Genomic DNA, 23,806 nt, shown 5'->3' on the forward strand with positions numbered 1-23,806 from the left:
GAATCCTGTCCAGAAGCCTTCAAGTCCTGGGAGAAGAGTTGGAGAACATGCAGAATCACAAGGAAACTGGGAGAGAAGAGAGGAAGGAGAAGGAAAGGGGTCTGGAGGCCAAGAGCCAGGAAGGCTGAAATGAGGGGTGGAGAAGAAAATATCATTCCCCAGGATAAGAGTAGGGATGAGTTAAGCCAGCTGCGGAGAAGAAAGAAACGGTCCTCCAGGCCTTCTAGAAACTGAGGACAGGCAGAGGGAGGCCAGAATGCTGCCCTGCTGTCCAGAGGGTGACATGAAAAGGGCCGGACAGAGGCCAGTGTGTGCAGGCCCTTCAGGACCACAGTGAGGAGTGTGGACTTCCTCTGACTGTCCTTGGAAACCACAGGGATGGGTCATTCAGTGGGGGAACTGCATAATCTGATCTGGGGTCTTCAGTGTGCACCTTTACCCTCACCCACGTCCTCCCATACTGAGCATCACAGAGGTCCCTGACTCTGCCCCTCCTTCTCCCATACTAGAAATCCTTGCCCTGGAGGAGCTCAAAAGCCAGGCCTTCCCAGACCTTGCTGGACATGTTTGCGACAGAACCAGGGCCCTTTCCTTTTCCCAGCTGTGCAGAATTGAATTTGCAGTCCTCATGATTCCATAAAAGGAGTTTCCAAGACAGACCTTCTGCACTTCTCTTTGGCTAAGAGGTTCTTTGCTATAAAAAACACAGGATAATGGGGGAGTGTACCCCGCCCCCAGCCCAATGCTGAAGCTAGGGACAGGCGTTCTCATACAGCTCTCTTCTTTCCTTCACAATCTTTCCTCTCTCCTCGCTCTGCCCACCACCCACCACCTCACCTGTGTTCCGCCCCTACAATGGTCAGGGCAGCCTGAGGCTCATAAGTCTGGCCGGCTCAGTTTTCCATCTCCTGGTGGCCTTCTGTGGGGCCTCAGGACAGATCTTCAGGGCCAGTGGCTGTTCTCAGCCTCGTGGGGATAACCCTGACCACAGCAAGAAATGCCCTGCTCTTGGAGTCACTTTTGAGGAAGACGTTTTCATCTCTATGTAGTCTTTCGATGTACAGGGAAATGCCTTAAAATCTTTTGCAGGAGCCCAGGCCTTCGTCGTTCACTGCTCTGTGTTCAGCCCTGCTCTTTGGGAAGGTATTCAAGAACAGTCTAAGATGTTGCCTGAAGAAAAAAAAGTGGCAGTCTAGTGGGACAAGGGTTTAGGATTTGGGATGAAAGGAAAGTGGCTGTGATTGGGTCACGTTCAAACATCGAGACTGTTGGTTCCTGCCTGGCATTCTCCCTCCCATCCCTCCCCTGCCGTAGCCTCTCTGGGTCCCTGCAGAAGCTTCGCTGTTCCTCGTGGTTCTGCTTGGTCCTGAGTGCCCCCACGAGCCTCTCCATGGTTCCCCATTGTCCACAGAGGAAGCTGCTCTGGCCGGCCCCGTCCTCCAGCCCTTGTCTCCTTTTCAGAGCCACCCATGCTCTCACCTTTTCCGTGTAATAAATAATAAACACCTCTAGTGCTGCATCCTTCAAGCTGCCTCCCGAGATCAGCCTGGCTAGAAGTGGTCTCCACCACCTCTGAGCTTCCAGAGCACCCTTTTCCCTCTTTTCTGGTACTTAATCAGAGCTCTTGATGGAAATGTCTCATCCTTCCAGCAGGACTGGAAAGTCTTTGAGCAGGACTGTCTCTTGGTGGCATCCACACTGACCTCCTTCCAAATGCTAGCCCAGGAATGCCGTGTGCCTGTCATCTCTGTCAGTGTCAGCTGAATGAAGGCCAACGGAAGACAAGACAGGCAGCTTCCTCTGGGGTGCCCCTCCTCGCAAAAGTGACTCCAGCCCCTGGCTCACAAGCTCCGGCATCCAGCAAGGACACCCCCTTCAGTTCTCCACCCACCACAGGAGCTTGTCACTCTCTGGGGTGGTCTGCCGGAAGAGAAAGCAGAGATGGAAGGCAAAGACAGTGGCTCCGGAGCCGCCATCCGTGCCGTGCTCAGCAGGACTTAGCAGCATGGCCACCCAGGTCAGGGAAATTCTGGCTCAAGTGTGCTCAGACAGTTCAGTGCAGAACTCAGGGCCAGTGAGAGGTGCTGGGCCCTGAGACTACCTCAGGCCAAAGTTCTGAAATTCAACCCTCCCAGGCTCATTGGAGGATGGGGTCCTTGTTTGGGGGTTTGTTTTGTGTCATTGGTTTTTTGTAACGCCGATGAACACTTCCACAGACCTAGTGTTCTACAGAACACAGTTCTGGAAATCTGTAGGGCGTCACCATGATTCGGGGAGGTAAAACTGACATTTAGTGTTTAGCGGGTGGGACTGAGGATGCTGAAAGTCCCACAACGTGTGAGAGGGTTCTGCCCAGTGAAGGAGCATCCTTGGGCCCTGTGGAATGTTTGGGAAATACTTATCCAAGGAGCACCCTTCATGGGTGATGTTCAGTGACACTGATAGTGGGGGAGTCTTCAGTGGCTGGCCAGGGGCCGAGGCTCAGCAAGGATAACACTGCCACTAGAAATATGACCGTATCTTGGATTGTATGACTGCATTTCCTCACTAACCTGGAATATTCACATTGAAGAACTTGAAGAGCAAGCAAGAATTTTATTTCAAAAATCGTACGGAAACCTAGACATTCTCTTGGGCTAGGTCTTCAATCCTTTCTGGACCCAGTGCTCTTCTTTTTGGAATAGTCTCCGCACCCACTGTATACTCCATGTCCCTACAGAGCTCCACAGCGCCCCGTGGTGGCCAGTGTCACCCCCTCTCTAAGAACCCACACATAGCCTCAGGCTGGCTGACTCAGCGTCTTAGTGACTTTTAGATGAAACCTGTTTATCCAATCTATTGAGAAACTGCAGTGTCTGCCACCGTCCACAGAAATCCCTAGGTAGAGAAATGCATTAAAAGGAGTAGAAAAGGGACCGGGAAAGAAGGGCAGCAGCTGCGGATGAAATGCGGCAACTCTTGCCCCAGCCTTCGCCATCGGCACAGAATTCAGAGGCCAAAGCTGTGTGGGCCAAGCTCCCGCATTCCCCTGATTATTATTTATTTGCAGAGTGCCCACGGGGCACCGGGTGCCACGCAGTGCTCCTTAGACAGGCAGGCCCCAGCTTTGCCAGGAGGACCTTCCCCCGCTCCCCCCGCCCCCCATGGCTCTGCACTCAGGGATTTGCATTTTGTTACAACACTGTGACAGGTTTCTTTCCGGCCTTGTGCTGGAGAGCTTAAAAGTCACTATGAAGCATAAAAAATAATTATATGACTTGCATAAAGCCTTCATGTGGGAAGGCTAGTATTAGCTATTACATTTAATTATTTAATGTAGAAAATTATTCACACGGTGTAAAAAAGCCCGGTGGGAAAGTACACTGTGGTTTCCGTCTCTGGCCCTGCCACAGGGAAGGAAACTGGAACACACCGGTCTGGTAGGAAGAAGAGGGATTCCCAGACCTACAGGGTGCGTCGGCGATAACCCGACCCACCAAAGCCCGAGGTGCTGCCAGTGCTTCCGGCCCTGCGCTGGGTCAGCCTGCCTTAGGGGCAGGAAGGACCTTCTGTGACACAGGCTGCGGGCAGTACAGGAAGGTAGCCTCTCAGCAAGAACCCCACCAACAACAGCAATAGTAGCAACTGTAGCAATCAGTGAGCACGTTCTCGGTGCCAGACAGGGCAGGTGTGAACTTATATCATTCTCACAAAGCCCTATAAGGGGCCAGGCACAGTGGCTCACACCTGTAATCCCAGCACTTTAGGAGGCCGAGGCCAAAGGGCCGTTTGAGCCCAGGAGTTCAAGACCACCCTGGGCAAGACCCCATCTCTAAAAAAAAAAAAAAAAAATTCTATTTTTAAATTAGACAGATATAGTGGCACACACCTGTAGTCCCAGCTCCTTGGGAGGCTGAGACGAGAGGATCTCTTGTGCCCAGGAGATGGAGGCTGCAATGAAATATTATTGCAACACTGCACTCCAGCCTGGATGACAGAGTTAAACCCTGTCTCTAAAAATAAAATAAAATAAAAACCCTACAAGGGCAAGTACTCTGGTTATTCCCATGTTGCAGGTAGGGAAGCTGAGGCACAGAGAAGTTAGGTAACCTGCCTGCACAACCCGAGGCTCATTGTGGGAAGTGAAGGCGGTCTATCATTTTATTCACATCTTGTTCAAGAGTGTGGGTGCAGGTTGCCGGCCAGATGCCCTGGCCATGCCTGGAGCTGGGCATGGCTCCCTCCCCCACAGCCACCTCTGCCCAGCGCCCTGCCTGGCGTACCTGTGCTCTCTCCAGGAGCACTCGCCCACTAGGTTAGAGAGGGCACAAGGCAGGAGTGACAGGATGGGCTGTGGGAGCTTTCTGAGAGTGCTGAGCAGGAAGGGACCTCTCTGTTTGGGGTTTGGAAAGCTCTCTCCATGGCCTTGGTCCTGTGGATTGGACTGGAAGGGGTTCTAGGCAGGCAGGCGGTTTTGAAGGCTGCCACAGATTCAAGCCCTCCCATAGCAAAGGAGAGATTGCTCCTCCTTGTTCCAGCCACATCTGATGCTGCTTGTTTCCTGCCTTCCCTTCTTCAGAGTGCATGGTGCTGTTCATTTGAGCTTAAAGTTGCCTGTGTGCATGGCCATGTGTCTGCCTAGCCTTATCCCTCTCCAAGGAGGCATTGATTCAGCACCCTAGTCCTGGAGGCACCTTTGCAGAAAACGGCTCATTTATTCCAGCATGAGTAGTGTGAAGCAGCTATTGGGATCCCCCAATCTACCCAGGTACAAACTGAGGCAGAAAAAGAGCCTCCTGAGACCCCCAAATGGAGCTTAACCCATAACCCCAAATTTTCATCTGCTCTCAGTGGGGAAGATGGCAGGCTTCAGGAGGGCTGATTCATATTCGTATGCCCAAGCCTTGCATAGTTACAGGCCTCTAGTAAGTGCTTATTATGTGTTGATGAGATAAATAAATGAATGAGTAAATAAATGGACGAAGGCCTTCAAAAATGTCCTGGGGAGGATAAGCCTTAATTCCAAAGAAAAATGGGAGCAGAAAGTGTCCAGTTAAAAGTGTGCATTCTAAGGAGTGTGTGTTCCTCCTGCAACTAGGAGAGCAGCCCCCCTCGCCTCCACCCGCCTGGGGTCCTCTCACGAGGCAAGCACCCAGCCCCCTGCCCACTCCTGCCCTTTGTCCAAGCAGTCCTCAAGCTAGCTGTGCAGCGTGTGTCTTGGGGTGCTTCTGAATTAACACATCACAGGATGGGAGCTGACAGAGGAGGGCAGAAATCCCCACCTCCTCCCAGGCTGCTGGCAGCTGTGTGCTCCAGTTATGCCTTCTCCATTAGGTGCCACTAATTTCCATGATTACTGTTATGTCTAAATGGCATCCTGGTGTAATACAATTTATATTATCTCTGCTTGGTGTCGGTTACCATTGTTTTCATGATATTCAATGGGATCAACTCTGCATAGACACACAGACACGCACTGAGACTTCACCACCACCGCCGCCAGCTGCCAGTGGGACCCAGCTCCTCTCCCCGGTTCATTCGGCTCTCATCATTTCTGGGACCCAGAAAAGATCAGTGTTTCCAGGAGCTGGGCACAGCTCCCTCCCCCACAGCCACCTCTGCCCAGCGCCCTGCCTGGCGCACCTGTGCTCTCTCCAGTGCTTGCTCACTCAAGCAGGACCTCTGCTCTCTTGCAGGGACCCCCTTCCCTAGGTCCGGTGAAGCCATCTGTTGCCCCTCCCTCCCTCAGCGCCACCCCACCGTGGCAGCCTCCAGCTGCTTCCTGACTGATGTTCCTACCCCTGTCTCCAAGGGCCCTTCAGAGGACCCGTTGTCCTTTTCCACTCTCTGTCTCAATCTCAGCAGCCCCACTTCTAATCCAGCCCCGAAGTCCTGCAGCCCCTCCAGCCAGCACGCTCCGTGACCCATGTGTCCTAGGAGGGGAAACCACGTGTTCAGAGTCAGCTTCCCCACAGGGCCGGGGAACTCAGGAGCTGGCTGCCTCCCCTGTGTTTCTTGGGGCAGATAAGGAAGGCAGGCAGGAAGGAACAGAGAAGAGAAAGAAATGAGTCATGGCAGTGACAGCACCTCTGCCCTCCAAATGCCTAAGACTGACAGCACCACCCCAGGCAAGGAGTGAAAGGTGTGCGGACTTCGTCGTGGACGCCTTCTTGCCACCAGCCTGACTGAAAGCTGGTGCGGCCTCTGCTCTGGGCAGAGAAGGAGCGAAGGACTCGGAATTGAAGGGCAAAGGCATGCACCCGTCACCCCTTCCACAGCAGTCCCCTCGCAGCTCTCCTGTAACAGACAGAAAATGGGCCCCTGCCACCACCCCTCTCGATAAAAGAAGAGTGGCTTCTAAGAACCTAGCAGTTAACTGTCTACATGAACTCGAGTCTTACAAAATGCAGCCGTGACAACCTGCACCCTGTCGCCAATCCCAAACAGCGTCAGCCAGATTTCATTCAGGAGAGTTTGAATACTAGTGACCTGGAGGATGGGCAGAAAAGACCTGAGAGACAGACTAAAGGAGAACTCAAGATTCCAGAACCTTCAGCTTCCTCCTTCCTCCTTTCACACACCTAGGCTTTGTTTCCCTGCTGTTCAGTCCCACACCCAAAATAGAACCTGTGACTCCTACGTCACTAGGCAGAGCAACGCTGGTAAATAATGACAGTGGCTGACCGGGCGCAGTGGCTCACACCTGTAATCCTAACACTTTGCAGGGCGGAGACAGGAGGATCACTTGAGACCAGGAGTTCCAGACCAGCCTGGGCAACATAGCAAGACCTCATCTCTACAAAAAAAAATTAAACAATTAGAGGGGCGTAGTACTTGGGAGGCTGAGGAGCTTGAGACCACAGTGAGCTATGATCACACCACTGCACTCCAGCTGGGGCAACAGAGAGAGACCCTGTCTTTAAAGTGAACATTTTTTTTAAAGGTAGAAATTCAGAGATTTTGGTCATCATCCTCTGTCTGGAACATTCACACATCCAGAACACCTATTCCTGAGGAGGCCGGATAGAGTCGGTATAAAGAATAGGCATCTCTTGGATTTTTTTAAAATACTTCCCTAGGTATTGGTCCTCACATTAACCCTATGCAAGACATAGGACTGGTGCTTGTATGGATAATAATCAGATTATGATTACCTCCCCTCAGAAAGCTCAATCTCCAGCCGACTAGAATAAAGACAACGGTGATGACGAGATTCTTGAAATTGCACTTGAAGGTGTAATGAGGTGGAAGCCTCTGGACTCTGGTTGCTTTTTGTTTTAAGCGATTGCACACAGAGGGCTTGGGAAGTGTTCCTCCAGTTGGCAGGAGGCCCATGATTTCTTACATAGGTAGTCATCCCATCCCTTTTCCCACTGGGAGATGGGCATGTCTTGTCTCCAAAAAGCAGAGGACCCGGGAGGTAGGCATTTTACAGCCAGGAAGTACCACTGGACCATGGCCCCACAGTTAAGACACAGTATCTGGGACCAGAAGAAAGCAATAAAAGATCAGGACACATGTGCCTTGTGGATGGGAGCAGAAGAAATGGCAAGTTCTGAGTGCTTTGGATGCATGGTCTCCTTTCACCCTCACCTCAACTCTGTGCTTTATCCCATGTTCTAGGTGTGGAAACAGTGGTATAGGGAAGTTAAGTTATTTGTTCAAGGCTACCCAGCTAGTCAGTGGCAGAGGTAGTGTCTGAATCCAGATCTGCCTCCAGAGATCAAGCTTTTCACCAGTATGCTGCCTCTTTCAACTTGGTATATCTCCAACGATGGAGCCAAATCAGGGCATGGACAACCAAAATGGAAGAAAATCCACAATTCTCGTGCATGTGAAATGCATCCTATGATGCTTTTGCAGCAGTTGTTCCTTCCCAGCAATGATTTTCTGATGTCAATAACAATTTGGTGACCATTTTCTCAGCCCACCCCTATCAGTGAGTGGAGGTGCTCTGGCACTCAGGCCTAGGTACTGGGACCTGCCCTGAGATGGCCAGAGGAGAGGCCCATCTTATGAACACATCTCCAGAGTGGGGAGTTGGAAGGGGGAAATCCACTCAGCCTGTGGGATTGGGGGATGGCGAGGGCAAGGCTTCCAGCTGCAAAAACGCTTTCCCTTCTGGGCAGCCCGCCCTGCGTGGCTCTGAGGAGCTGGACAGTAGAGGTTTGGTTTGCCACTTCAAGGAGAGCCAGGAAAACCCTTTCTCCAACCCCTTACTTCTCAACCATTTGGGACACAGTCACCAGAGAAATAAGGGGCAACAGGTATAACCAGACTCCAGGTCAGACTGATTTCGTAAGACGTGTATGATTTTTTTCCCACCCTCCCTTCTCCATTACACCCTTAAAACCCCTATTACTAATGGTTTCCAGCAACCGAGGGGGCGGGCAAAAACAGAGAGAAGAGAGATGAGACAGCATCAAGCCCTTCCACTCCCGAGAGTGTTGGGAAAAGTATTCCTCCTAGGACCCAACCACCTGGGGACTTGGGGACCAGCAGGAAGGACCTGGGCCTTGTTTCTGGGCAGGGTGTGGTCCAAGTGGGAGGAAGGGGCTGTTGAAATAGTGGGAGGAGGGGACAAAGGGGCAATGGGGATGGAGGCCTGAAAGCTGGCCCTGAAATTGTCTTCATGGTCCAGCTGGAGGACTGAGGGGCTCTGGGCACCAAAGGCAGGACGGTGGGAGGATGGGTCAGGGTGAAGAGCTGCCTCTTAAAGGGACCCTGTTTGTGCCCAGACATGTACCCTCACCCACTGCATTCCAGCTCTGTGGAAATCCCCCAGGGCTGGGGCACAGGAGCTCTCAGCGACAAGGAACCTGGTTGGTTTCTGCAGCTCCCAGGTAGTGTGCCACCAAACAGATGTCAGTCTAAAGCCTGGAGTAGCACAGCCTGCTGAGGACAAGTGTGAGGCACAAGGCCTTAACTCCAACAGAGCCCAGCCAGTGCCAATCCAGTGAGAGCCAGCGTGGAGCCATGGGAGGAGGGGGCTCCCATGGTCAAGAAAGAGGGGGCTGTGCCTTCTGTCTGCACATATACAAAGAAATCTGGGAGAAAGGGTGACCAGGGGTGCACAGCCAGGCGGTTAACAGGGTTCCTTTAGGTCTCAGCCCTTCACCCTGGTGTGCCCGCTGATTAACTGTGTGTGTTTCTCTGGTTTTCAACACCAAACCTTTGCTCTGTTCTGTCCATTTCTTCCTTTTCCTTTCTCCATCTTAGAGGTGTTGCAGACCAAGGCCAACTTACCCATTTTGTTTCAGGTCTCTCTGGTGGATGAAGATTCCAACTCATCCTCCTTTCTTGAGCACTGACACTCACACCTTCCTCTCTCTCCTCCTCCTCCCACACCGAAATAATGTTTTCTTGCACGCTTTCTAGGCTGATGCAGAGAATTCCTGGATTCTGCTCTTGTTCTTGTTTGTCTCCCTTCTCTTCCTTGACTTCCCTGCCCTTCCCTTCTGAAATAGCTCTACCCCACAAAGACAGTATTCATATCGAGAGGGTCACCCAGTGTTTTCCAAAATCTAATTTTAAGTCTTATGCATAGCTGTAGTTCATCTGGGGTCTTCACTTCTTATTTCCCTCTCCCCAAAATCACTATTCTCCTTTTGCCCTGTGAATGATATCTGAGAACCTGAGAGCGAATTGGTTATTTCCTGCTCATAGCATGTGACTTAAATGGGAGAAAGAAGTCTCTCTGCCTCATAGGCTCCACTATATTCAGAAAAATACCCTGGGAAGCCAACAAGAAAGCCCTGATTTGAAGCTGACCCTCACCTCACCCACGCCCTGGTCAGCTAATCTCTGCTTCACCCATCCTGGCTGTCCAGTCTCCGGGGTGGCGTTTCTGTTTTCTTTCGGCAGAAATGCCTGGGAACCGAAAGGCCCCTTTCCCTGTGACCTGACCTCCCACGCTAAGAATAACAGCCCCAGGACAGCATGTCTTTCGGTCCCTCTGGAAAGAGGGCATGGCTGGGAAGTGGGAAGTTAAGGGAGCTGGATAGAGCTGGGAGGAAAGGGAAGAACACAGATTCTTGGCTTTGTGAGTAAAAAATGAAGAGGAAAAGTTGGCAGCCTTCAAGTGAGCTGGGGAGAGATCTGGGGAACCTCTCGGAGGACGCTTCATGCTTTCATACCCCACTCCGACCTCAGAATTCCACCTCCTGGAAGCCCAGAGGGCAGGCAAATACTGGTCCCACTGAAAAAATGTGGCCAGCCCTGTCTTGTCCCCTTCGCAGACCATTTCTAAACTAAAGGCGTGAATGTTTTTTCTTAAAGAAGACAAATCTCTGTAGTACTCGGTCCTTCCCCCTCCACCCATGGGGAATATGACCGCCTGTAGCTGGGGGTGTATGGGGACTATGACCGCCTGTAGCTGGGGGTGTATGGGGAATATGATCGCCTGTAGCTGGGGGTGTATGCACCCATTCAGTCACAGAACATCGCTGTGCAGGCCCCTACACCTCCTACACCCAAGAAATCCATCTGCTAAAGAGTCCACTCATCCAGGACACCTGGGGTCCTATAGGGCCTCTGGGACAGCCCATTCCTTGGTTGACCTGTTGTCCAAGTACATGAAAAAAGTCTTTTAAGAACATTCGTCCCTTCTCTTCTCCAAACATGGTGAAAAATAAACAAAATCCATAGCTACAGAATCAAGTGGTAAAGTCAGGATACTGGTCTTCCCCTTCTGTGCCAGAATCTCTCCTTCAGGGCACCACTGTCTTCATCCCCTTCTAGGCAGCCAGCCTCCCCCAACCTACCAGCCTATCCCTAGCAAACCCATCCTCAGGAAACGCTTTGATCACCGCGTGCCCTCTGCGCGGCGTCTGCATTCAGCAGGACCCTACCTCCAAATGACCATGAAAGAACCTGGGGAGGGGCTTAGAAAGCCTCAGAAAGCCCTGTCAAGAGCCACATAACACACTCCCGGAGTAGGAGCCCAGCCTTGCCTCTGTCTCCTTTCCCTTAGGAAAGTCTTTGCCAGGGTTGGAACTGCCCCTGGAAACACTGGGGCACCCAGTGCAGGAACTAGGGTACCCTGATTTGATCTGCAAGAGTTGCACTTATTATGGATCTTGTTTTAACAATTTGGTCCTTCTTTTATTTTTGAGCTTTATATGAGTCACCAGTGAGCCCAGATAACCTGCCACCCTGCGGCCCACATTGATGGCTGTGGTTTTCAAAGCCTTTTTCATTCCCAGCTTCACCCATAGGACCGAGCCCGCTACCCTCTGAGGGGTCACACACCTGTGTTCCCTCCCTCCAGACAGGCCCTTCTGCTGGAAGAGGACTGGGGGTGCAGGAGATGCTCAGCGTGGACTGAGAAGAGAGCATAGTAGCCACATCCTGCCGCCTGGCGATTTGCACCACCCACGCCCCCCACACCCACTCCTGCCCCTGGTGGGACGTGGACAGGGCCTCTGTGGAGAAGGGGTAGGGTGGGTGGATCTGTAGGATGGGGGCCACGTGACCGAGGGAATGCGGGCAGTAGGGTTAGAGTGTCGCCTCCCTGCTGCTCCTTCCTTGCTGGTGCTCCTGGGCTCCTGGCCATGGTGAGGGCGTCCGGAACTCCAGAGGCAACACGGAGGTGCCTGGACGATGATTCTGATGGTGGTGTTGCTCTGTTCTTGTCTGTCTAATATTCCTTTTTAATCCCCATCCTGCCTGCCCTCCCTTATGTAGGGTTACTTTAGTGATCCCTGGAATGTTTTTGACTTCCTCATCGTAATTGGCAGCATAATTGACGTCATTCTCAGTGAGACTAATGTGAGTATTACTCTGCCCTCCCCAGGAAACCTCCTCATTCCTCCTCCTCTGCCTCGTCTATTTCTCTCTCTCTCACTCTCTCTGTTTACCTTCTTTTATGTTTTTTTTAATTTCCTGTTTTTACCCGCCTCCAGTCATGCCTTTTATTGAACCTGCCGTCGTCCTGTGGGGGAAAAAAAGTGGGAGCTTCTCCTCCTTTTTTTCCATTTACCTCAGCTCTGCCCGGCGCTGCCGGGCTGGGGCGTGGAGCTGAGCAGAGGGAGTGGCGGTGCAGGGGACACACCGCCCGGCTCCCCGGGGCGGCCACAGCCCCACGCCACCTTTGAACTAACCCAGCTTTTGTCAGGCCTCTGCACCCTGCGAAAACCAGGTTATCCAGGTTTGAGCTGCCAGAACTGTAGAGTGGTAAGAGAGTGTTTAATATGCCCACGTAACCTCTTTCTTTTCTCATTTTTTTTCTCTTCTCTCCCTTTTTCCATACCTTTTTTTTTTTTTTTTTCATTTTTCCTCTTCCCTTTTGTTTTGTTTTGTCCTTTCTTGTTGGTTCTTCTTCTCTCTCTCCCCGGCTGCTCTGCCCCATGCAGCACTATTTCTGTGATGCATGGAATACATTTGACGCCTTGATTGTTGTGGGTAGCATTGTTGATATAGCAATCACCGAGGTAAACGTAAGTACATGGCGTCTGTCCCTAACCGTCCGTGCCTGCTCTAACACTCATTTGCCTTTTCCCGGTTTGTTTCCTTCATTTTATTTTCTCTCCCCACCTTCTTATTTTTTTTTTTTAATTTGTTTGTTTGAATTGGTTTGAAGGTTTTTTTTTCCTTGTTGCTTTATTTTGAAATCTTTTTTTTTTTTTAACTTTGGAACGCATTAGGCCTTCCCCTTTTCTGTTAAGTTCTGATTGCTGCATCTTTTCTCTCTCCCATACAATCAGCCTGGCATGACTCACACTGTATCGGAGGAAGCAGCTCTGGGAGCTGTGGAGTGAGAACATGAGGGGATGTTTGCCACTCTGGGCAGCTGCTGGGGCAGGGACCCAAACCTCTTCTGACCTCCACCTTCTCCTCCAGCCACTGCCTTCCCTACTCTCTCCTTTGCATCCCCACAGCATCTCAGAAGGGAGCTCTCTCAAAGTGGAACACCCTGAGATAAGGCTAAGACTCAGCCTACACCGTCAGCCATAGCCCACCCTCGCCCAAGGACCACCCATGATCTCGGGTTGAATGGGCTCTGTTTTCATTTAACATCAGCAGCCCATGCAGGCATCCAGGTCCCTGCAGGCTCATTTGGAAGAGGAACGAGAAGGGGAGGATCAGTCATGTCTGAACTCTTCTCTAGAGGTGGTGGGTGACGTACTGAGAGCTGCTCTGGGTGGACCTTTCCTCCTAGTTGCTGTGGAAGCAGGCCCCATGTGAGCGCCTCACTCCCACATGCACCTGCCACCCCTGCCCTCGACCCCTGACCTCTCACACCCCTGCCTCTGGCTCCCGAGCCTCAGACAGCACCCCAGCCTCTGCAAGGCCTCCTGCCACCTCCTTCTCCCAAGAGGTGCCTCCTCCTATACAGTTCCTACCAGTTCCTGCACATGTCTTTTCTGTTACCTGGCATGTTTAAATCTCTCTTTATCTATAGGCAAGCCTTCTTGCGGTCTTTAACATGTGTTGTTTAATTTTTTCGTTATTATTTTTCCTTAATTAAGAGACTTGGTAATGTTTGCATAGACTTTTGATGCACTGAACTATTGAATAACAGCACAGAGCAGATGCTTTAGAGTTTTGATCTAAGATGTTTGGAACTACCCAGCCCACCACCCCCAGCTCCTCCATGCACCCTTACTCCCCTCTCCACTCCATCTTTTGCTCTCAGTCAGTTACACTGCCGTGTTATCTTGCCTGCCAGATTCTTCCAGATTAGAGACCCCTGTCTGCTCCTCTTTTAGCAGATGGACTATGGAAAGCGGTTGTCACACTTGTCATATGTCCCCCGCTGTAGTCTGGTGCCCCAACCCTGCTCACCCTATAGCTCCAGAGACCATGGCCCCTCTGTCTCCCTGTGTCTCTGAGAACTGTCTTTGTCCGGTGTGTGTGTATGTGTATGTGTGTATATGTGAGTGCATGTCTGTGTGTGTGTGAGCATGTGTGCATGTGTGTATGTGTGTGAGTGTATGTGTGTATGTGCACTCTCTCTTAACTTCTCCCAGTAAATCCTCAGATCATTTTTTTAAAATTAGTCTTCCTACTCGTGCTCTGAGACTCCTCTCCCCTTTCTGAATGGACCCCAGTTTTGCAGCTGGATGAGCCCCAAGTTGCTGTTCCCACTCATACACATAAAGGCCAGAGCTTCTGTGCCCAGAGCTTGTGCCATGCAGTGCTCAGCCGTGGGAGACACTGCAGGGAGAGAAACAGGAAAGACAGGGCAGCAGTGGGCTCTGCCCTCAGGAGGTTTCCTTTCCAGACAGCAGTGCAGAGCCACATTAAAATCTATGCAGAGGGGCCGAGAGCCCCACAGCAGGAAAACGCAGAAAGGTGACCGCAAGCTGCCCCCCTGTACAGTGGCCCACTGCAGCTCTGGGGGTCCTATGGGTTCTTCCTACAGTCACCAAGGCCCCATCGCTCAGTCTGCAATTTTCTCCCAAACTATTCATGTCTTTAAAGAAAAAGAAAAAACAACAAAAAAGCATTTTCTAGGATATAAAATTTATACAGAAAAGGGGGCTCTGTTGGGGATAGGGAGGGGGCCTGAACCCGTCCAGCAGCTCCTGACATTGGAATAGTGGTTTTCTATTTACAAGTCACTTTGCATTTATCTGACAACTCTAAACTACCCTTTAAATTTGACAGGTAAGAATTCTCATCCCCAATTTGCTGATGCTAAAGGTGATGATGGAGAGATTAAGTACCTTTCCAGTGCCTCAGAGTCAGCCTAGCCCTCCTGGGGCCAGCTCACTTCCTGCTAGGCCAGAATTCCTGGTTTCTGTACTCCACAGTGCCTTTTGGTAAAGAGAAACCTCACCTGTCCCTCCTGGTGTACTGCCACTAGCCACGACTTACTCAGAACTTACATTCTGTAATTGATATCTTAAATAAGCACAGGGTTTTTTCCACTTTCTAAATAAGCAATAATCAGCCACCCTGAGAGTTCCGCTGCCCCTGTGTCCTCCCATACTGAGATGCTCCGGGCTGAGGCATTTGTGGCTTTGAAGTCCCACTGAAGGATTGTCGGGGGACAGGGTGGCAACTGTGCATGTGACTGACAGCAAGAGGAGGTGTCCTGAGACCCAACACCTATTTCAGAGCCACTTTCTCCCTCTCCCACACAACTGATGGCTTCCGAACCAAAAGAACAAACATAACATCCCCCAAGGCAGGAAGGCGGTTTGGGAGAGGAGAAAGCTGGACTTGAAGTCAGAAAACTGGCAGATTGTTGAGTCTTGCTGCTGCTTCCTGTCAAAGCGTTACCAACATGCCCAGAGACTCTGTTTTTTCATCTGTCAGAGGAATGTGGTATTTACAGCAGTGTGTTTTGAAGCTCAAATAAGAGCATCTATTTAAAAACTCTATATAAACTGGTAAAGCACTGTGGAATGGGAGGAACTGTGGCACCCAGGCAAATGACATTCCTTCCAAAGTTACTGCTGGTGTCACTCGGAGGGCCTAGTCTCCAACCAAGACCTTTTGGTTAGTCTAATTATAACTTACAACCCACAGTCGAAAGCCCTGTTTCCCAGATATGCTTAGACCCATAGAGATGGCCAACAGGTACAACCAGATCAAAGCCAGCACACACACACTTACCACGGCCCATAACTCTGGGCCTTGAGGGGCCTGCTCTGAAAGCACAGTCCGGCTTGACCCTGGGCTCACATCGCAGCCAGTGTGAGGGACAGCAGCTTAATTGAGCAAGGTCGCTCCCTCCCACTAGATTCTGCCTCCAGGGCATTAGCAGCGTATGGGCGGCCCCAGCATTTTCTTCCAATCCCATGGGATCCTTCAGAAAATCCTGCATCCCTGGGCCCTGCTCCGGGCCTTCCCAGGTATTTTTAGTCATCCTCTCATCACAAGACATATATTCCCAGGGATATGGTCTATTTGGAAAGAGTCTACATTGTTAGCCTCAGTGTGATCCATGAGGGCGTTTCACCTGTAACCTGCCATCTTTAACTCCTAAACCCCTCCCCAGATGCCTTATCCACCCTAACTTTCCTCCAAATATTCCCCACATTTAAACTCGTCTCACCTTTTCTCTTTTCCGGGCTATGGGGCCCTCCCTCTCAGGAACCATCATTCATTCAATCCACAGCATTTAGAGTCTCACTTCCTATACGTCAGGCACCGTTTGAGGCACCTGGGATCCATCAGCTGGCAAACCAAAAGCCCCTGCCTTCACAGATTTGCATTGTAGAAGGGAATAATCAGACAATTCACAATGCAATGAGGACAGAAAATAAGGAACTCATACGGTGTGTTAGAAGATGATAGACGTTTTAGGAAAAAAAGTAGTGCCAGATAAGGGGGCTCCAAGGTGCTGGGGAGCAGTGATGGCAGGCATTGGTTTAAATAAGATGGGCTTCCTTAAGGAGGTGACAGTTGAACAAAGCAAAGGCATGAAGGAATTGAGGATTCTCCATGTGGAGATCGGGAGAAGAGGTAGCAGGGCAGGAGGAGCCAACCTGGCTGGTGCGGACTGAGCTGGGAAAGGAGAGGTGAGGGTAGCAGAGGGGTAACTAACAGGTTCCACTTTTGGGCTTTTACTCTGAGCAAGAAGGGGACATACTGGTGGCTTTGAGCAGAGGTGTCACGTGACCCGACTGGTTTTTAAAGAGACCACTCTGGCTGGCTGTAGGAGTCAAGGGTGGAATCTGGAAGATCATTTAGAAGGCAAATGCAGTCATCCAGGTGGAAGATGCATAGCGTGGAGCAAAGTTGTGGCAGTAGAAGCGGTGGAAAATGGCCAGCCCGTCACTCTGTTTTGCAAGCAAAATTAACAGTGTTTCCTGACAGACTGCATGGGGGCAGGAGGAGAATTGCCCAGGAGGACTGGGAGGTTTGGCCTAAATCAGAGGAGGATGGAGCAGGTAGGCAAGGAGGCGGGCTGGAGGCGGGGCCTGTGTGAGTTAGGAAATGCCAGAGCACAGTTTTGACGTATCTGTTAGCCCTTGGAGGGGAGATGTCAGGTGGACACACAGGTCAGAGGCCTGGGGATGGAGTCATTCACAACAAGATGGTACCCAAAGCCCCGGCACTAGAGAAGAAGAAGCGACAAGAGGCAGAGGAGCGGAGAGGCCTGGGCCAGGGCCTCTGGCGCGAGGAGATCGGGACCCGCAAACTTCTGTTCATCTGGGAGATGCCGCTGAACAACTGCCAGGTGTCACAAGAGGACCGTCTTCAGGCCCCCTCGTGCGGTCATGCTGAATTCAGCCTCAGTATCTGAGCCATGGGCCCCGGCCCTTCTCCTGCCAATGCATCACCTGGGTCTAAATCCGAGCTTTTCTTCCTCTGTGAGCCGGGGAGGTAAGAGTGCGATGTCCTGCTGCTCTAGGGAAGCCTCTTGCTCTTCCTCAGTGCTTGGGTCTGAAATCATATTTTCCTGTGATTGTTCGTGAAAGTTACTACAGCACCAGAAACTGCTCCCTAAACATCCCAAACTGGAATTAATTTGACTGCTTGGGCCAACAGCCTTTCCCGACACACTTCTTTTTCATTTTGTATTTTAAAATATACTGAACAATAGAAAGTGCTGGGCAGCCTGAATTCCTGCATTATGGACATAGAGAAACATTCCCAAGTTGTCAATGAAGAAGCCTTGATTATGCTTCCAGCTCTGGTGACTTAGAGCAATGAACTCCATTCTCTGGGCCTCAATTTCCTTGAATGCAAAAGTGAGGAGTGAGAGGTTTAGGATGGTCTCTTGCAACTCTAGCCTGCAGTGATTCTGACTTGGGCATTTTCTGACAGCTGGAGGTGGATGCTTCATTGCCCCCATTGCCTTGCTGGGTTCTGAGGTGGTGTTTCCTGTCATCAGGCGCCCATGGTGTCATGGGGATGCTTCCTCCAGGGAATCATCTGCATAGAGATAATCCCTGAAGCCACAGTGCTGAAGGGCAGCAAGGGAGGACAGGCTCCCTTGGCTTTGGTGGAGCTCACCTGGAGATTCTCCAGAGAAAAGGAGCAGGAGAAAGACCTTCGGGGAGCAGAGCAGGCACAGGGAGGGGAAAGAACACTGGCCCTGGAGCTTCTGGGCACAGCTCTCAGGAGGAATTGCTGGAGGCTTTGCACGATGCACAGGAGTGTCCAGAGCAGGGAAATAAAGCTAAGCGAAGGTGGCACTGGCTGTGAACATGAGAAGAGGACCGACATGAGGATGACCTGATGAGCACGGATCAGGCATCATGCTGAGGACACCATACACATGATCGGATGAAACCCGTGTGCTTACTCTCCACATGAGGAAATCAAGGCTCAGACAGGACGAACATCTGCCCAAGGCCACACGGTGAATGGGAGGCAAATCTTGGATTCAAACTCATTTCTGTCCAAGAATTGGCTCTTGCATTTCACAGTGCCCGCTGGCTAAATCCCTGGGCCAGGCTGGCCTGGGCATCACTGAAGGGCAGGGCCCAGTGGCTCCTGCACTCCTCATTCAGTGCCTCCTGGCAACGGGACTTGGGGCGGAGCTGCCTGACTTGACTTCTCTGTGTCGGTTGATGCTGCGGATGCTGGATCCACAAAGCCTGGGATCCCCCTGGGATGCTCAGACAGAATGCAGGCTACACACCCGGATCCGTGTCTCTGGTTACAGGGAACAGAAGGCAAACGCCAGGAGGCGCAGAGCAGCACCACTCCCTTTGCCCAGTTGGCATCTGCATCTGCAGCTGAAGAAAGAGACTGGGAGGAGGGGGGCCAGAAGGAGCAAGCAGCGACAAGGCAGGGCAGAGAGTGTCCAGGGATCAGCATGTCGGGATACTGGTCCCAAGTCTTCCCCACCTTCAGGCCCTGAAAGCCTTTCTACCTTAGTATCTTTCCACCATAGGCCCCCAGGCACAACTTCCTATAACTGTCACTCACTACTCTCCACAACAATCACAAGCAAGCCGGGCTCCTCTCTGGCTCTGGGTCCTGGAAGGATGGAGGAAAAGCAGTCAGTCCTGAGTCATAGAGAGAGCTACTTGCTGCACGTCCACCCCCTCAGGGGTGAGTCAGCTCAGCCTGCACGACTCCAGCCCTCTCTCTCGGCCTGCAACCCACAGTGCTTGCGTTGGACAGTGGGCCTGGCTGTCTCTGTCTGCCTTTGTGGCTGTAACCACGCCTCCTGCCCCCTGCCATGGCAGAGAAGGGGCCAGAATGGGCACAAGAAAGGCAAGGCTGAGTGCCCCCCACTGCCCATAGCTGTGATGAGGAAGGAGGGTAGAGAGATGTGGTCAGAAAGCAGATTTGTCCAAGGACATTAGGGTGTACACACCTTAGAGACCACCTAGCCCAAACCCTTATTTGTTTATTCCTCAAAGGTACCTTGAGCACCCGCTGTGTGATGTTGCTTGAGGATATACAAATTTTCTAGATGAGGACACAAAAGGCCAGAGGCAGGAAACAGCTTGCTCATTTTCACAGGTTTTTCACAGCAAGCTGACCGGAACTCCCGGTCAGTAGGGGGCTCCAGTGGGTGCTGTTGCCAACCATTGTCTAGATGACATTGGTGGGTGTGGCCTGAGCTGGTTCTAGGACACATAGATTAAATCAAGTTCCGTGGTCTCAGGACAGCTGGGTGGGGCAGAGGTTATCCTTGACATCTCCCTCCAGCCCCCCTTCTCATTGCTGGAGCCTCCTGTTGCCCTCGGAGTCCCTTCCAGCTTCTTCCCACTTTCGGCAACAGCCCCCACCCCCAACAAACCTAATGCTACCAAGATGCCTTGTTTCAAAATGAAGTGATTCCAGCACAGTCATTCATGCTGGGTGGTAGCAACTCAGTGAGCTGCCCTTCTAATAGATCATTGTACCTTGAAGAGAAGGCGATGCTCAACCTGCAGGTGGAATGTTTATTGTATCTCAGGTGAGCCTTTAGCAACGTGACCCCTGAGTGGGGAGATTACTTTTGTGAGGTCCCTCCCCATCCCCCCACAAAGGCTGTTTTCTACTCTGCTTAAGAGTATGGCTGGCCCTTGAGAGAGTTAGCAGAGCCACCCTCATTCCTAGAAGTGGGATGAAGCATCTGACCATCAGCAGTCCCCTGGGAGGAGGCCGAATGCCCCGGATCTCAAGGTCTAGGGCGAGGCTTGTTGTGTGAACTGGTGTGATGTGGGGTTGAGGGGGTGCAGACAGAGAGACGGGCCTGAGAAGTGGCCTGGTGCAGCAAGTCTTCTCAAAAGCTTTTGCCTTGAGAAGTACCCTGCAGGTTTGACCCGAAAGGTCATGGGAACCTGTTTTTTTATAGGCATCCAATTTGGGTTGTTAATTCAGCTGTGTGAGATTGCCGAGGTCCTGATGCGGCTCTGACCCATCCAGGCTCCCCTTGCCCTCTGCCTTCTGCCCCAAACTGTGTCACTTTTTGTTTCCCTCAAATGCTCTTTCCTTTCCTGTTCTCATCTTATCAACCCACATACGGCCCTCTGTTCCCTTCCCCTCCGTGTAAGGGTGGGAGGAAGTTGCCTAGCACACCTTTTGTTGTGGCCAGACAACTGATTGTACCTGGCCAGTGTCTGACACTTCAGTTCCTACAGGCTCAGCAACCTGCTGCTGGGGTTCTTTCCAGAAAGCTCGTAAAGCAAAGGCACCTAGAAGATGCCATGAGCTGGTAGTGAGGAGACACAGGAAGGCTCAAAGATACGTAGGGTGCCTCGAGAAGCATGGCCACTTCTGTTGATGCCCACTTACTCTCATATTTGGTGCTCCCACCCAGGGAATCATCTGTTTGTTTCCTTTTTGAGTCTCTGCCCCGCCCTGCCTCACCCACTCTGTTTCTCTGCCTTTCTTCTCTATCTTGTGACCTCTCCCTCTGGCATAAGGAATTCTTTGATGTAGTTAGTACTACTGGCACCTTGATTTCATTCGTTTATTCTTCATGGGCTTTTTGTTGGTGGAGGTTGGTTGGTTTGTTTGAATGACTAGACGCTGGGCTGTCCTTCCCAGGGGAAGATGAAACTCCCAGGCAATTCTGTGATCAGTCTTGTTTAGTGTGTGTTTCTGGCAGGTAATAACACCTTGGGAGCCATCAGGCTGCACATGATAACAGTGAGACCCTGAGGCTTCAGCCACTTCCAGCCAGCAAACTGGTCACTGCAGCCAGTAGCACAGGGCATAGCTCTCAGCCATCCACAGCTTCACACACAAAGCAGGAAGAGCAAAAGAGGGCCAGGAGCTGCAGCCCCACGCTGGGAGCCCGGCTGCCAGTCCCCTTGGGGCCAAAGACCCCTCGAGGGGAGTTCTGAAGGGGCATTTCAACTCAGTGTCTGTAACTCCAAACACACAAGAAAGGCAAGAAGGGCCCTCTCCTTCTAGCTGGAATTCCACTTTGGAGAAACACAAAAGCCCGTGGGTTTCCGACCTGGGGGTGGTGGCCCGGGACAGAGTCCTTTCCATGGTCCCTGTCCATCTTTAGCTTTATCCTGGTGCGTTCCCTGCCCTTTGTTTGTCTTCTTCTGCTCAGTTCTTCTCCTCCATCACTTCTGTCTCTCCACTCACACCAAACCAAAATGGGAATTCTGCTTAGAATTGCTTTCAACTACGCATACCTCATTCATTTGCTCTTCTGTCTGAAAGCCATGGCCTCTACCCTCAGCTTCTGTCTATCCCAGCTAACGTTTGTTTAACCTTCGCCTCTCTTAGCAAGTACCTGTTCATTCAGCTTTAGAAGGCTTGCAGCTTAAAACATGTTTGCCTTTGGCCTCCTTAAAATGTCTTGCCCCGCTGCCATACCCAGTGGCTCCAAGATTCAGCACCTCCCGACTCCTCCTGAGATGTGCATTTCTCCTGGTGGGAAGGGGAGATAAAAGGATCGTGAGGATCCCCCCACACACACCCTTAACCTACACCTGCTGGCTCCTGGCCATGAAGTTGGCGTCAGATGTCTCCAGCAGCCCCTGACCCCTGCCATTCCCAGCTCTCTCTCTGCACCAGCCTGACCACCTCCTCCCAACCTAGATCACCTCCGAGGTCTCTCCCTCAAAGCCCCACCCCTTGGTCTTCCTCCACACCATGACACCCCCCAACAGAACCAGCTGTTGTGTCTTGCAGGTCAAATTGAGATTGGAGGTAGTACAAGCGGAGAAGCGGAGCATGGGGAGGGGGTACTGGCTGGATGGAGACCTTCAGGTGGCTTGGAATGAAATTTATATCAGATCCACCTCCCTAAGTTCTGGACAAGACATTTTAAAAAATATAGCAAGGGTTCTGTAGCAGGACCACTATTTAGAGACTCACACTCCCATGACATTACTTTTGACATCTGTTTCAGAGGTGCGTGGAATCTTAGTGACACTGAGGTCATAGCATTGTCTCAATGGCAGCCATTGGAATTGGGCAGCCGTTTTCTGTAGGGCTAAGACCAGCCTTCCCTGGAGGAGATCAGAGGTAATCTGCACCTTTCAAAATCAGCCTGCCAAGGAGAATGCAGCCATGGCTTATGCCCCCTTCACAATGCTCTCTGGCCACCTGACCGCAGGAGAGTATTGTGGAGGACAACTGGGTTGGGTATTCCAGCCTAGAGATCTACTGCTCAGCCCCTGAATTTCTATAATTCTTACCCTTGGCTGTGCTTTAAAAAAATAATAATTTTTAAAAAACTTTTTTTCGTATGGTGAAGAGCTATTTTTCAACTACCTTTTAAGTCTCCAGAGAGACCATGTAATGTGGCAACCAGGAAACACATCCTGCGGCCTCCCACACCATCCTGGTGGGAAAATCCTCCACCTGGGAGGATCCTGTCTCTGCTGGCCTCTGGCATTCCCTGAGTATCGCCCCTCAGCATCCTAAATGTGGCCTAGACCTGGCACTCCAATGAAAATAAGTGCATAGTGAGTGCCTTCCAGAAACAAAGACTTCATCCACTGAGGTGTTACTTCTCATTTGACCCTGAACTTAATTCAGAAAGACAGCTTTCCAGAGACCTCCCTCTCATTAGCTGCCCTGCACCACTCCCCTCCTCACTGCCAGTTCTGCCAAAACAAGGCAATCTGCATAAGCATATTGAAGGAAGGAAATCGTCTTTCCTTTCTGTTTGCCCTGAGCCTGTTATCTGGAACCACTAACCAGAGCTCGCTGTCTCTGAAAATGCCCGACCTCTGCCTCAGATACGGAATAATAACCTCATTTCATTTATATCAATTACGTGAACAAATTAAGTTAATTGCCCCAATATCATGAAATCATTGAAAATTACCAGATCATTAGAAAACAAGGATGAAAGAATTGGCTGCTCAGAAATTTCTCCACGCCTACCATTAGTGGAGACAGTGCCATATGAAAAATCAGCCAGAATGTTCAGGTTATGTAAGCAGCTCTGTTGGCTGCCCTAAAAGGGGAATGCAGTCTCCAGGCTTGGGGGTGTATGTCTTCAGGGAATCCTACGGCCCCTTTCTTCCCCAAGAAAGACCACAGATGGGAGAAACTACAAACTAACTCAGGGCACCGGCAGCAAATCTGGGAAGGGGTCAGAGATTAATGGCCCAAGTATTGATGGCTACCAACAAATTCTGAATTTACATCCAAAGGTAGAACTGATGCTTTGTAGTTTCTCAAGGGGCTGTACTTGGTATTTAAAGAGAGTGGCAAACCACAGAAACTAAAAGTGCTGATCCTGGGATACCACAGATGTCCAACTCCAGCAAGTCCAATCTCTCCTTCCATCTCAGCAGGGGATTCATTTGCCAAGGCGAAAGGGTACCAAAGACTCTAAGGATGACGTGGGATCATGTAGGAAACGCCCAGGGCATCAGTAGACCTCGGGGGCCTTGGGGGCAGGGGCTGTGGCTTAGGCTGCTTCCTATTGTTACCATGTAGAAATCACTCAGGGATTGCTCTCTGATTTCATCGCGAGTGGTTATTCATTTATGAGACCACGGACCTT

The 23,806-nt window shown here is 51.2% G+C and overlaps 1 protein-coding gene across 56 annotated transcripts in view, besides 3 other annotated features; it reads left to right on the forward strand.

Annotated features, from left to right (window-relative positions):
• Positions 1 to 23,806, forward strand: part of CACNA1C (calcium voltage-gated channel subunit alpha1 C) — a 727,171-nt gene that overhangs the window by 651,185 nt on the left and 52,180 nt on the right. For 25 of the 56 annotated variants that reach the window (XM_017019943.3, XM_017019932.3, XM_017019947.3 and 22 more), the window contains one exon: positions 12,333 to 12,416. In XM_017019943.3, coding sequence (XP_016875432.1) covers positions 12,333 to 12,416 — 84 coding nt within the window. Of the gene's footprint in view, positions 1 to 11,664; positions 11,749 to 12,332; positions 12,417 to 23,806 lie in introns of all 56 variants that reach the window. The other 31 variants (XM_017019934.3, XM_017019946.3, XM_017019949.3 and 28 more) reach the window with 4 other exon arrangements.
• Positions 4,969 to 5,640: an enhancer, noted in NCBI's record as "H3K4me1 hESC enhancer chr12:2736099-2736770 (GRCh37/hg19 assembly coordinates)". NCBI's record gives its function as "activates a minimal SCP1, AML or CMV promoter by ChIP-STARR-seq in naive H9 embryonic stem cells {active_cell/tissue: H9 hESC(naive)}" and the evidence as "EXISTENCE:reporter gene assay evidence [ECO:0000049][PMID:30033119]".
• Positions 5,641 to 6,310: an enhancer, noted in NCBI's record as "H3K4me1 hESC enhancer chr12:2736771-2737440 (GRCh37/hg19 assembly coordinates)". NCBI's record gives its function as "activates a minimal SCP1, AML or CMV promoter by ChIP-STARR-seq in naive H9 embryonic stem cells {active_cell/tissue: H9 hESC(naive)}" and the evidence as "EXISTENCE:reporter gene assay evidence [ECO:0000049][PMID:30033119]".
• Positions 16,581 to 17,082: an enhancer, noted in NCBI's record as "H3K4me1 hESC enhancer chr12:2747711-2748212 (GRCh37/hg19 assembly coordinates)". NCBI's record gives its function as "activates a minimal SCP1, AML or CMV promoter by ChIP-STARR-seq in primed H9 embryonic stem cells {active_cell/tissue: H9 hESC(primed)}" and the evidence as "EXISTENCE:reporter gene assay evidence [ECO:0000049][PMID:30033119]".

Source organism: Homo sapiens, chromosome 12 (assembly GCF_000001405.40).
Source record: "Homo sapiens chromosome 12, GRCh38.p14 Primary Assembly".
NCBI classification, from domain to species: domain Eukaryota; kingdom Metazoa; phylum Chordata; class Mammalia; order Primates; family Hominidae; genus Homo; species Homo sapiens.